Source organism: Homo sapiens, chromosome 2, assembly GCF_000001405.40.
Source record: "Homo sapiens chromosome 2, GRCh38.p14 Primary Assembly".
NCBI classification, from domain to species: domain Eukaryota; kingdom Metazoa; phylum Chordata; class Mammalia; order Primates; family Hominidae; genus Homo; species Homo sapiens.
In genome coordinates, this window is record NC_000002.12 from 120,271,555 (window position 1) to 120,284,492 (window position 12,938).

Sequence of the window (12,938 nt, forward strand, 5' to 3'; positions counted from 1 at the left end):
ATTTATAGACAGAGCTATCTTTGGAGACTCATTACCCAGGCACTTCCCCATCCCATACCTTATGCTTCAATATTATGTGACTCCTGAACCCACTGTGATGTTTCATGCCTTTGTTGCTTTGCACATGCTGTGTGTTAAGCTGGAATATGTTCTCACTCCCATCTGCTGAATGGACTATTATTAACCTTTGGAGCCTCCCTGATTCCCTTTTCCTGGAGTTCATTATGCTTTCCATTATATCTTGTACCATCTTTATCTTTGCATGTGAGAAATTACATTAAAATGCTTTATTTATAGAAGTCTTTCATTGGGAAGACTGAATTTTCTAAGGGGAGAAACCCAAAACTTGGCACAAAGTAGAGCCCAAATGTTTTTTGAACAAACTTCAGTCAAACAACAGAGCTTTTGGGTGAGTAGATAGAAACATGTTGAAGGGTGCCATCTTAACTCAGGCTGCCATAACAAAATACCATAGACTGGGTGGCTTAAACAACAGGAATTTATTTTCCCACAGTTCTGAGGCTGGAAGTCTGAGACAGGGCACCAGCATGGTTGGGTTCTGGTGAGGGCTCCCTTCCTGCCTTATAAGAAGAGGAAGAGATACCTGAGCTGCCTTCTCAGTGTGTCCTCACATGGTGGAAAGAGCCCAGGTCTCTCTTCCTTCTCTTATAAGTGCACCCATTGAATAGGATCAGGGCCCTACCCTTATGATCTTATGGTTTGCAAGTGGTCCCCGCCCCACAGATGTAGTTCTGAAATTGTTAGTGAATTCAGTGGGGGAAGTCTAATTGCTTTGGGGAAAATGAATGTCTGTGCTTCATGTTAGGGACAAAGTATACGGATACCTGCAATTTACACTGAAATATATCGGAAAATGAGGTGCACTGATGGGTAGAGAGAGGGACGACAGATGAATGGATTTGTGATAAAGCAAATGGAGCAAAATGTTGATTGTAAAGTCCAGGCAGTGAGTGTATGGATTCACAGGATGGTTGTTTCAACTTTTCTTAGTGTTTGAAACTTTTTGGGATAAAATGTTGGGGAAGATACCTGTATTTTTTTAAGAACACATTTATTGGCTAGGCATTTCCATTATAGGTATTAAATCATTAACGTGAGCTTCCTAAACTTAACTGATTTTTTTTTCCTTCCTGCTCTTTCTCCTCCTGTCTTTATCTAGTCAGTTCCTTCAGCTCTTAGTTCATGCGATGTCCCTCCAGGAAATTTCCCCTGACCTTCCAGCCTGATACAGATATGTCTTTCTGTGTTCCCAGGGCACCACTTGCATACTTCTGCCATAGAATTTATTATCTTGTACTGTAATCATTTACTTACTAATCTGTCTGAACCACTAGTCTTTGAGTTTTTTGAGGGCAAAGACTGTGTTCTGGAATGTTTTTGGTACAAGAAAAAACAAACACAACAGTGGACTCTTTGTGGCTTAAACAGTTAGAAGTTTCTTATCTCTAATACCCTGTGTCATCGCCCGTTGGGTCTTCCTGCCCACTGCACAGACAAAACCAATTCACTGAGACCATGGTATTGCAGTAAAGAGAGTTCAGTGGACTCGAGGCTGGCCACATGGGAGAACTGGAATTATCAGTCAAATCAGTCTCCCTAAAGGCTCAGAGTTTAGAGTTTTTCAAGGATGTTTTGGTAGGCAGGGGGTTAGGGAATGGGTGCTGCTGGTTGGTTGGGGATGCAACTATAGGGGTGTAGAAAATGGTGCTTGTGCCCTTGAGTTCACCTCTGGATGGTGGCGAGGAACCACAGGACTGGTTGAGTCATAAGTCCATGTGGGGTCAGTCTGAAAAACATCTCAAAAGACCAATCTTAGGTTCTGCAATACTGATGTTATCTATAGGAGCAACTGGGGTAGTCCACATCTTGTGACCTCTGACCACATGACTCCTGAGCAGTAAGGGATTATAGGAAGGAGGCCTATATTTTAGCAGAACTCAGGCCCCTCCCATAATTCTAATCTCCTGGCCTTTTACTAGTTTTATAAAGGCCGTTTCAGTCCCTGAACAAGGAAAGGATCAATTTTAGGGAGGGACTATTATTATCCTTGTTAAACTAGAAATTCCTCTCAGGGTTGGTGTGGCCTATGCCCAGGAATAAGAGAAGACGCCGACCTGTAAGACCAGAGGCAAGATGGAGTCAGCACGTTCAGCTTCTTTCACTGTCAGAATCTTTGCAAAGGCAGTTTCACCCAAAGTCTGGAGGTTGCTGTTTCTAGGATTGGTTCAGTGAGGGGCATGTGGTCAGCACCTCTACCTTCCCTGTTCTTTCCCTTAATTATGCCAAGTTGACTGAAGCAGTGATACAGGCTGGAAATATCCACCATGGTTATTTCAGTTTTTGAACTTTAAGCACAGATATTTTGGGAAGTATCGGGGTGTGTTGAATAGTTTTCAATTCATTTATTATTTCTTCTAGAGAAATTGACTTGTTTTTGAAAACAGCAGTTCAGAATTAGATAACTACACGTGTTTGCAAGGATCCCCCCCAACCTGGAAAAATATCCTTTTCAGACAGCCATAATAATTCATAGAACCAGGATTGATTCAGAGAAATTGTGTGACAGGTTGATGGTCTGGAGGTTCCAACCTCATTCACAAACCTCAGCTCTGTAGGAAACAGTGTGGACCAGAAATGAGGCCAGAAGTAGTTTCACCTTCCTAAACTCAAGCCTTTTGGGGAGGTCTGCCTCTTATTCCATTTATTCTATTTTAGCCACATTTCAGATGTGCTTACTTATCTAGTTACTTGCTTAGCTCACTTATTTAAAAAAAAAAAGTACGTAATTTGCAAAGGGGGAGTGGAAAGAACGCCTGGTGTAGGCAGGCGGTCAAGAGTAGGGGGGAGAAGAGCAAATGTGATCTGGACTCCTGGCAGCCAAGGCCTTTCACAAACTGATGAGTGCCCTGAGGTCGTCAAGAGAAAGCTTGGTTATGTTCAGTCTGTGCTGTTTCAGAAGACAGAGAAATCTAATACATGAAAAGTAACTTGCAACACTACATAAATAATGGCCTCAAACAGGTTTTAAATATAGGAAGGTATAGATAAAATTCTGGTATACACAGTTAATAGTGAGTATCTCTGGGTGGTAGGATCATAGGTGCTTTTTATGTGTATTCTGTAAATTTGCTATGAGCATCGTTACTTTTAAAATACTTAAAAAGTATTTTAAGCATTCAGAATGGTTCTTTTTCAACTCCATCAGGTCTTTCAATGATGTCATTTTTTTCACATTTTGCCTTTGTCTTTGTTAAAATTGATCAACTAATACTTTTTATAATATTTGCCTGAAGAGTCCTGCTTGTTACTGCCATTGACTCTCATGAATTGCGATTTGCTTGTGTTTTGTGAGCTGGAATTTTAGGCTTTAGCTGTGAGACTCCCGAACACTCATTGCCCCTTGTTCCCCCAGAGAGGTTTCGTTTAGCATTGCCTGGGCCTCCAGCACTATGAGCAGCCTGGGACCACTTTTCATGTTACTTTATTGGCTTTAGAGGAGTGTTGTGGGTATAGGTTTTCAGGGGAGAATTCCCTACAGCCAGAGCCCAGACAAGCTTCCTTGTCATTTTCCTCTGTTGGCGCACAGATGGTGTGCTCCTTCAAGGGTCTTGACTTCTCAGTTCCCAATTGAAAAGGTGTCTCAATTCTAACTGCTACCTTGTGTGTATGTCTGGTCTCCCAGCCATGTGAATGTGTGTGTGTGCATGCGCACACATGCACATGTACGTTAAATCCTAAATTACCAAGAACAGCAACCATCCAGAACTGCAGGAACTGCCGCTCTTACTGCTCTGATTCTCTCCTGTTTGGGGATCCTTACTTTCTTTTGAGCTCAGCTGTGCATTTAAGAGCAATTCTAAGCCTTGGCTGCTCATGAGGATCACCTGGGAATCTTTTAGAATTTCCCATGCCCAGGTTGCATCTCAGACCAATTATTTCAGAATCTAGGGTGGGACCCAGGTGTAAGGATGTTTCTGAAGCTCCCTGCATGATTCTGTTGTATAGCTAAGAATGGGAACCACTGATTTAAGATGATGTTGTTTTATTTCGCCCAGTGATGTGTGTGTGTGTTGTGTGTGTTTATTTTTCTAGTGGGGATGTTTTCAGGCTATCTCGTCAGCAGTAAGGGAAATAGGAGTCCACCATGTTGTAGTTAGAATGAACACTCTCGTAAAGTGGCCTCGTTGTCTGGAGTGACATCCAGAGTTCTTGGTCTCATGGCCAAGGAAATCAAGGATGCAGACACACCAAGGGTGAGGTTTAGAGCAGAAATTGAATAGGAGAAAGAAAGAGAACGGTTCTCTGCCACAGAGAGTAGTCCTGGAAAAAGGGTTGCCATCCTGCAGTGAAATGCAGGGGTTTTTACAGATGTGCTAGTGGGGAGGCAGTATCTGATCTACATAGGGTGTGGAAAACCAGTTAGGACCAAGTGTGCCATCTGCATAAGGCATGACTCTCTGGCAGCACCCACCACAGTCTTTTATTATGCAGGCGAGTCCTCAGCCTGAGCTACTCTATGTTGCTTATTTCTTTCCTATTGCACATGTGCTAAAAATGGGGGAGGTGGAACCACCATGGTGGACCTGCCTGGCCCCAGGTAGCCCTTCTATTGGTGCAGCCGCTGGCATGCAGCTGTGCAAGCCTCCGGCTTCCTTATCTATGTTTGTAACCTGATCTTCCAGGCTGCTCTTTTTTAGAAAATAATTGATTTCTTGGGCTGTGTTTTGTTAGAAGGGAAGTTCTGGCCAGGTGCAGTGGCTCACACCTGTAGTCCCAGCATTTTGGGAGGCTGAGCAGGGGGTGGATCACTTGAGATCAGGAGTTTGAGACCAGCCTGGCCAACATGGTGAAACCCCATCTCTACTAAAAATACAAAAATTAACTAGGCAGGGTGGTGCGTGCCTGTATTCCCAGCTACTCAGGAGGCTGAGGCAGGAGAATCACTTGAATCCAGGAGGCAGAGGTTGCAGTGAGCCGAGATCGTTCCATTGCACTCCAGCCTGGGTGACACAGTGAGACTCTGTCTCAAAAAAAAGAAAAAAAAAAAAGGAGGAAGTTCTGCCGAGGACTCTTTGCCCTCACTATCTGCCTAAATGGTCTCTTTCTACCTCCTGTATCACTCTTACAATTAGATGGGATGGAAAACAACATTGGTTCATTCCTACTGGGTGCTGGGTCTGTGCCTTGGTGTTTTCCATGTATATCCTATTTAGTCCTCAGAACATTCCTGCAAGGTAGGTGGTGGTTGGTTTTATGCACATAAGAAAACTGGCTTGGAGACATTGAACTAGTTCTAGGGTCACGCAGCTCACAAATGGCAGAACCACACTCATGCCTGCCAGATGCCCAAGCCCTGCCCTTTATTCTTGTGTTTTGGTATATGTGAAATAGATTTTTCCATACAAATTGGTTAAAATAAAGATTGGCACTTGGGTTACGGTAGATTCCAGGTCCCTGTTAAATATACTTACTTGGGATGCTTTGTTGTCCCATAATACTGGAGTTGCTCTACTCATTTTATCTTCCTTCTGATTAGGGCAAATTGATTTTGAGATTTCTCCTTTTAACTCTCATGTCATGAAGGGGTATTTGTTCTTGAACTCACTTCTTTAATCAACCAGAGGGATGTGTGGGGCTGTGTAAGAGTGTGAGAGCATATGTGTGTGTGAGAAAGTGTATGAGAGCATAAGAGTGCATGGGAGCATGTGCGAGAGCGTGTGTGTTCTGTGAACGTGTTACAGCATGTGAGATTGTGTGTGGTGTGAGCATGTGAACATGTGTGTGAGAGCATGTGTGTGGTGGCGTGAACATGTATGTGTGAGAGCATGTGAACACGCATGTGCATGTTAGAGCCTCTGAGCCTGTGATATGAGCATGTGTTAGAGCATGTATGTGGTGTGAGCATGAACATGTATGTGTGGTATGAGCATGTGAACGTTAGAGCGTATGTGAGTGTGTAGTTGTGTGTGTGTGTGAAAGCGTGAGTGCACCTATGAGAGGACAAGTGTGTGATAGTGTATGGAGTGTGTGTTGTGAGAGCATGTGAGCTTGTGAGTGTACATGAGCACAAATTTGAAAGTGTTGTGAGAGCGTTGTGAACGTGTTATGAGTGAAAGTGTGTATGTGGGTGTGTGTGATAGTGCGTGTGTGATAGTGTGTGAGCTTGTGTGTGAATGTGAGCATGTATGACAGCGTGTGCTAGCATGTGTGAGCCTGTGATAGTGTGTGAGAGCGTGTGAGAGCAAGTGTGTGAATATGTGTGTTTGAATGTGAGAACATGAGCATGTGTGAATGTGAGAACATGAGTGTGAAAATGAGTGTGAGCGTGTGTGTGAATGTGAGTTAATGTGAGCGTGTGTGAGCGAGTGTGAATGTGTGAATGTGAGTGAATGTGTGTGAATAAGAGCATGTGTGAATGTGTGTGCGAGTGTGTGAGCATGTGTGAATGTGAATGTGAGAGCGTGAGTGTGTGTGAATGTGAGCGTGTGTGAGTGTGAGCATGTGTGTGAATGTGGGCATGTGTGAGTGTGTTAGTGACCGTTTGTGAGTGTGAATGTGAGAGCGTGTGTGAGCGTGTTGTGAGTGTGTGCGTGTTGTGGGGTAGAGGGTAAGAGGGCAAAGCGAGGAGTAAAGCTAAAGAGCTGGGGATTGAGGTCCCAAGCTGTTCTCCGCGGCAGCCGAGAACCGAGCAGAGAGGTAGGAAACTGGAGCTACGAGCGGTTTGGTCTCTGCCTCAGTGAGGCCCTGCTGAGGGTCTGATGATTTTTGGTGACTGGGTGTCCTCTCCACCCTGCCCAGTGAGGCGGGCGTGGGGTGTGCGCTCCTGTTTCTCCCCTCTAGCCTTGGCTTCGCCCCAGCTGTGCTGGGGTAAGTGACTTCCAGAGTTGTTGGAGGGCTCGCATGTCTGCCCTGAGCCTGAAAGGATTACTTTCCTGTTGGAATGTCTGGGTTAGTTAGGCTTTAATGGAGGATGTGAATGACATTTGGTTTTAGCTAGGTTGAAAGCAAATCGCCTCTAAGTCTTTGTCTTTGTCATCAGCAGCTCTTCAGTGGGTCATCTGTGTGTCACAGCCTCAGAAGACCAGCGAGATGGCTGCCAACAAGAGTAAGGGCCAGAGCTCCTTGGCCCTCCACAAGGTGATCATGGTTGGCAGCGGAGGCGTTGGCAAGTCAGCCCTGACGCTTCAGTTCATGTATGACGAGGTAAGCCCTGCTAGGCACAGACCACCTTCCTTTGGCATTGGCCGTAGCAGTGTCCCTGCTCCCGCTGTTTCTGTGCCGGTCCTCCCGTACACAGGGGTTCACGGAGCAAGTCTGTGTTGAGGTGGCTTCTGAATAGCTTCCTAGGAAGGTCTAATCAGCATAAGATCTGGATTGCTGATTCTAGGTAAATAATTTCAACTCCGGCGGGGATGTGAGAGATCTCTGCTTGCATCGTTTCCATTGTTATACTTCGAGCTTTCTTTCTGACAAAAGCCCAGGGGAGGAGAGAGGAGCCTTTGTACAGATTTTCCAAACAACACAAGCATTTAGCCTTGTGATTGTCAGTCAATCGCGAAGTGAAAGAGAGTGAAAGGGGAGCTGAGCTGTCATACAACTTAATCCTTTCGCAAGTGATAGACATCAGATCCAGTTCTCCCGTGCGGCAAGGTAAAGCTTGCACTATCCTTGCCCAAAATTTACGTCACCTACTTAATGTGGATAACATCACTGGTGTTGAGTTCAGTGTGACAACACAGCCTTGATCCCCGGAGCTACAAAAGTCCCTGCTTGAGCTGTTTGCTAGGATACTTAGCCTACTGTGGGCTCTACATCTGCAGATTCAAGCAATGTAGAATGAAACGTTGCGGAATGAAAATATTCGGGAAAAAAACCCAATGAAAAATAACAATGCAATGATAAAAACAATACAAATTAAAACATGCAATGTAACAACTGTTTGCGTAGCCTTTACATTGTATTATGTATTATAAGTAATCTAGAGATGATTTAAAGTGTACGGGAGGATGTTACATGTAAATGCTGTGCCATTTTAAGTAAAGGACTTGAGCATCTGCAGATTTTGGTATTTGGTGGGGGTCATGGAACCATTTCTCTAGGGATACCGAGGGATGACTGTAGTACAGGCAGGGAGAGTGTTCCGAGCAGAGCTTAAACCTCAGGGCCTCTCACTTGCATTGCGGCCACATGGCTTTATGAGATTTGCGAAAGAAAGCTATCACAACCACGTCAGTTAAGATCACTACCTCTTTTCACTAGACTTTCCCATTGTCCTGCTTCCTCTTATGCTGGGTGCAGCTGGAGTGGCCATGGGCATTTTCGGCCTCTAGCTGAGGGAGTTTGTGTTGGGCTGGGTTAGGTGGGAATAGTGGTATGTGTTGGTGTGGTTTGGAGTCACGCGGCATGTGGCGATTATCGCTGGCTGCAGGAGTACTCCAACCGCCCACTGTGCTGACGTGCGAACATCGTGATGTGAGGTGCAGGGCCAGGGGTGGATCCTGATGCGAACCTGTCCTGTGGCACCTGACACAAGTGTGTGAGAGCTAGAAGCTAGAAACTGGGCCAGAAAAGTCTTTCAGATCTTACAGCTTGTACAGTGAAGCTCAATAGAGGTTTCCTAAATTTGGCAGTAATCCCAAAACTTTCATTACTAGAAATGCCATGTAGTCACATGCACATGTATGTTTATTGCAGCACTATTTACAATAGCAAAGACATGGAACCAACCCAAATGCCCATCAAAGATAGACTGGATAAAGAAAATGTGGCACATATACACCATGGAATACTATGCAGCCATAAAAAAGAATGAGTTCATGTCCTTTGCAGGGACATCGATGAAGCTGGAAACCATCACTCTCAGCAAACACAGGAACAGAAAACCAGACACCACATATTCTCACTCATAAGTGGGAGTTGAACAATGAGAACGCATGGACACAGGGAGGGGAACATCACATGCTGGGGCCTTTTGGGGGGCGGGGGGCAAGGGGAGGGAGAGCATTAGGACAAATACCTAATGCATGTGGGGCTTAAAACCTAGATGATGGGTCGATAGGTGCAGCAAACCACCATGGCACATGTATACCTACATAACCTGCATGTTCTGCACATGTATCCCAGAACTTAAAGTAAAAAGAAAAAAAAAAAAACTCATGTAGTTGTGAAGCTGAAAGAACCTCTTCTAAGCTGTCAGAACAAAAGACATTTTCATTAACCATGCTAAAGGAAAGACTAAATTATTTTTTATTCTCTATAGGAATGTTTCAAAATCATTGGCATATGACAAGAAAAAGTATACAGCAAACAAAAAAGTAGAAGGTATTCTAGAGGTATGTCAGGCAGTTTAATTAATAAAAATATTGTTATTTTGCTGGATTTTGTGATGTCAGTGCTGTTTGTATTAGTTTTTTTTATTACTGTATAATAATCACAAAGTTAGCAGGTTAAAACAACATACATTTGTCATTCCATAGTTTCCATGGGTCCAGAATTGGAGCCTCAGCTGAGTCCTCTGCTCAGAGTCCCACAAGACTCCACTCAAGGTGTCAGCTGGGGCTGTGACCTCTTCTGAGGCGTGGGGGTCCTCTTCCAGGCTCCCTAATTGTTGGTAGAATTTAGTTCCTTGTGGGTGTAGGACACAGGTGCTCGGATTCTACAAGTTGCCCGCAGGCCCCTGCCATGTGCCGTCTCCATAGGCAGCTCATACCACAGTGGCTTGCTTCTCCAAGGCCGGCAGGACAGTCTCCAGCCAGCCTAGACGGTCTTATAAAATGAAATGGAAACATGGGGGTATTCCCTTCGCCTCACTGAGAGTCACCCGGGGGTGAGATCGCTGGAGTACTCATCTTTAAAACTTTATAATGGATTATGATTTCTCATTCAATGTCAACATTTACTTTAATGTCCAGTATTACGTGTGTAATTTTGTATCTTAAGGAAGGGCCCCCATAATGAATAAGCTTCAAACCCAAACCTGGTTATCCTCCTGGGTCATGCTCCCCATGTCTTATAATGAGACACTTTTGTGTTTGGTACCTGCTTTTCTTTATCTTATTCTGGGGGGTCAAACTGGATAAATCTAATGTAATCTGCTGAATTTCCCCAAAACGTTTTTGCATAAGAGAAGCAGGTTGGGAGATCTGCATCTGCTTTGTAGGTCTTTTGTTTGTTTTTGCTCAAAAACTTATAATTTGCTTACGAAAGCTTTTTTCTCCCCTATAACAGAGGTTGGGGAAGAGAGGGGGTGGTGAGTAGGGGAATTAGGATTAGGGAGATAGGATTAGGGAAGTAGTTGTTAACAGAGGTGAGAGAGGGGGATTTTGCTTCCCCAGGGAATATTCGTAAGTGCCTGGAGACATTTTTGGCCATCACAGCTTGGGGGAAGATGCTACCAGCATCTAGTGCGTGGAGGCCAAGGACGCACTCAGCATCCTACATCACACAGGACAGCCCCGAACAAAGTATTAGCCAGCACAAAATATCCACAATGCCACTGTTGAGAAACCTGCATTAGAGGCAGAGCCGTGGCAGATCCAAGGAGAGAAGATTCCCCTACAGTGTTAGTGATTGAGAGGCCCTGGGTTGCCAGTTCCAAGAGCAAGTTCAGATACAGAGCTGGGGCCGGGCGCGGTGGCTCACGCCTGTAATCTCAGCACTTTGGGAGGCCGAGGCGGGCAGATCACCTGAGGTCAGGAGTTCAAGACCAGCCTGACCAACATGGAGAAAACCCATCTCTACTAAAATTACAAAATTAGCCTGGTGTGGTGGTGCATACCTGTAATCCCAGCTACTTGGGAGGCTGAGGCAGGAGAATCGCTTGAACCTGGGAGATGGAGGTTGCAGTGAGCCAAGATCGCACCATTGCATTCCAGCCTGGGGAACAAGAGCGAAACTCCATCTCAAAAAAAAAAAGATAACAGAGCTAGCACTGCTGAGGAGACTAGGAGAGCCTGGTCTGGAGGTTTCTGGGTGTGTGTGTGTTGGGGAGGGGGGCGGGGGTGGGTAAGAGGAGGGGGCAGATGCATGCAGAAGATTCGAGAGTTTTTTCTCTTCTTTCTGTTCTCTTCACAGAGACCAGGGAAAGCTGTGCCTGGCCTTAGTCTGTTTTTCTCATGGGCTAACATACTTGAGAACTGGAAAGTGGCAGTTATTGAAGAAATTGTAAAATAAAATTGGGGCAAGGAAGGAATAGAAATGAAGTGATGTATGTTTGGGGGAGGAGTTCTAATCGATTTTCTAAAACGGTGCTAATAGAAACTTCCATGATGATGAAAATGTTCTGTATCTATACTGTCCAATACAAGTGGCTATTGTGCATTTGAAATGTGGCTGGTGGCTACTATATTGGACAGAATGGTTCTAGAATCATAATTTTTTAGCTCGAAGAGACCTTAGCAGTAATTGTCAAACCTAGCTGATTATAGAATTTCCTGGGAGACTTTAAAAAAAAAAAACACCTCCTGAATAATATTGGTGGAGTTGGAGAACTGGGACTCTTTCAGTGGTGCTCTTCTGGTGGTTCTGCCGCGTGGCCAGGTGTGGCAGCTCCTGCCTGAGAGATCATCTAGTCAGGAAATTGAGCTCTGTGTTCAGGGAGGCCGGCTGTCTAAATCAAGCTTGTCCAACCTGTGGCTCAGGATGACTTTGAATGTGGCCCAACACAGATTTGTAGACTTTCTTAAAACATTCAGAGATTCTTTTTGCAATATATTTTTTTAGCTCATCAGGTATCGTTAGTGTTAGTGTATTTTATGCGTGGCCCAAGACAGTTTTTCCGATGTGGCCCAGGGAAGCCGAAAGATTGGACACCCCTGGTCTAAAGTCTCCTGCACCATTCAGACTCTTTGTTCATAGTGCATGCTTAACCCTTATTTAAAATTGTTTAGCTTATGTGATGGAATTTTCATGAAGATTAGATTATGGAAGGAGCCATAGTCCCAGAGTCTTTATTCTTGTCTAAGTTCTGACTTTGAGAAAAATTGGAGGGAGCTGCCAGGGTGGCAGCAGTCAGATTTTAAGCTCCTTATGCTCGGCCTAACATACTCGTTTTTGCCTTTTTTGGGAGAGTAAGGTTGGGGATGGAGAGGCTTTGGCAGCAACCGTTTCAGACTTTCAGTCTCTGGCAGCTTAGAGGAAAGTCAGCTTAGAAAGAAAGGGTCCACGTGAAGTTTGTCTTAGACTCTTGGGCATCTGAAACTGAGCCATGCAGAGCTCTGCAAGGCCAGTAGGGGATACGTATGGTTCACGCTAATGGATACAAAGACTTTGTGATTTTCTGTTTCCAGCTGAGCAATGTAAATAAACATCAGGGTTGTAATGGAATGTTGGGGTAATCAGCATACTTTTCATTGAGTACAGAGGTATGTAGGTACAGCAGGACATTCTGACTTCTGTGTCAAAGGAGCCAGTGGAACTCTGGCTGGCTTTATCCTTGGAAGCTCAGAAATATACAGTTGAGATAATTTATGGTAGAATTCAGAGATTTTCAGGGGACAGTCGTGTGTTGGATTTTTTTGGCGTGTATTTTTCTTTTTGGAAAGGAGTTAAAAGAAGGACACTTGAAAGCACAGGCAAGTTTTCACATCTCTATTTGGAGATAATTTATTAGTACACGTTGAAGAGAACCTAATACTAAACATGTCTTAATATTTTTATTTTTGAGTAGCTGTTAACTGACAATACAAGGCTCTTTTTAACAGTCTTCCTCAAATAACCTTTAATTCACTTGGACATTTTCAATTCCATTTTTAAGTTAAAAAAATTTTAAATCACAGCCTTATTAAGATGTAATGCACATATGAAATTCGCTCTTTTTAAAGTGTACAATTTTTTTTTTTTGAGATGTAGTTTTTCTCTTGTTGCCTAGGCTGGAGTGCAATGGCACGATCTTGGTTCACTGCAAGCGCCACTTCCCA

General features: G+C 44.3%; 1 protein-coding gene across 12 annotated transcripts in view, besides 1 other annotated feature; it reads left to right on the forward strand.

Moving 5' to 3' along the window:
• RALB (RAS like proto-oncogene B) overlaps positions 1 to 12,938 on the forward strand; it is a 54,641-nt gene that overhangs the window by 31,485 nt on the left and 10,218 nt on the right. For 7 of the 12 annotated variants that reach the window (XM_047445359.1, XM_047445361.1, XM_047445362.1 and 4 more), the window contains one exon: positions 7,064 to 7,224. In XM_047445359.1, coding sequence (XP_047301315.1) covers positions 7,064 to 7,224 — 161 coding nt within the window. Of the gene's footprint in view, positions 1 to 7,060; positions 7,225 to 9,280; positions 9,354 to 12,938 lie in introns of all 12 variants that reach the window. The other 5 variants (XM_047445357.1, XM_047445358.1, XM_047445363.1 and 2 more) reach the window with 2 other exon arrangements.
• Positions 12,079 to 12,592: an enhancer, noted in NCBI's record as "OCT4-NANOG hESC enhancer chr2:121041209-121041722 (GRCh37/hg19 assembly coordinates)". NCBI's record gives its function as "activates a minimal SCP1, AML or CMV promoter by ChIP-STARR-seq in naive H9 embryonic stem cells {active_cell/tissue: H9 hESC(naive)}" and the evidence as "EXISTENCE:reporter gene assay evidence [ECO:0000049][PMID:30033119]".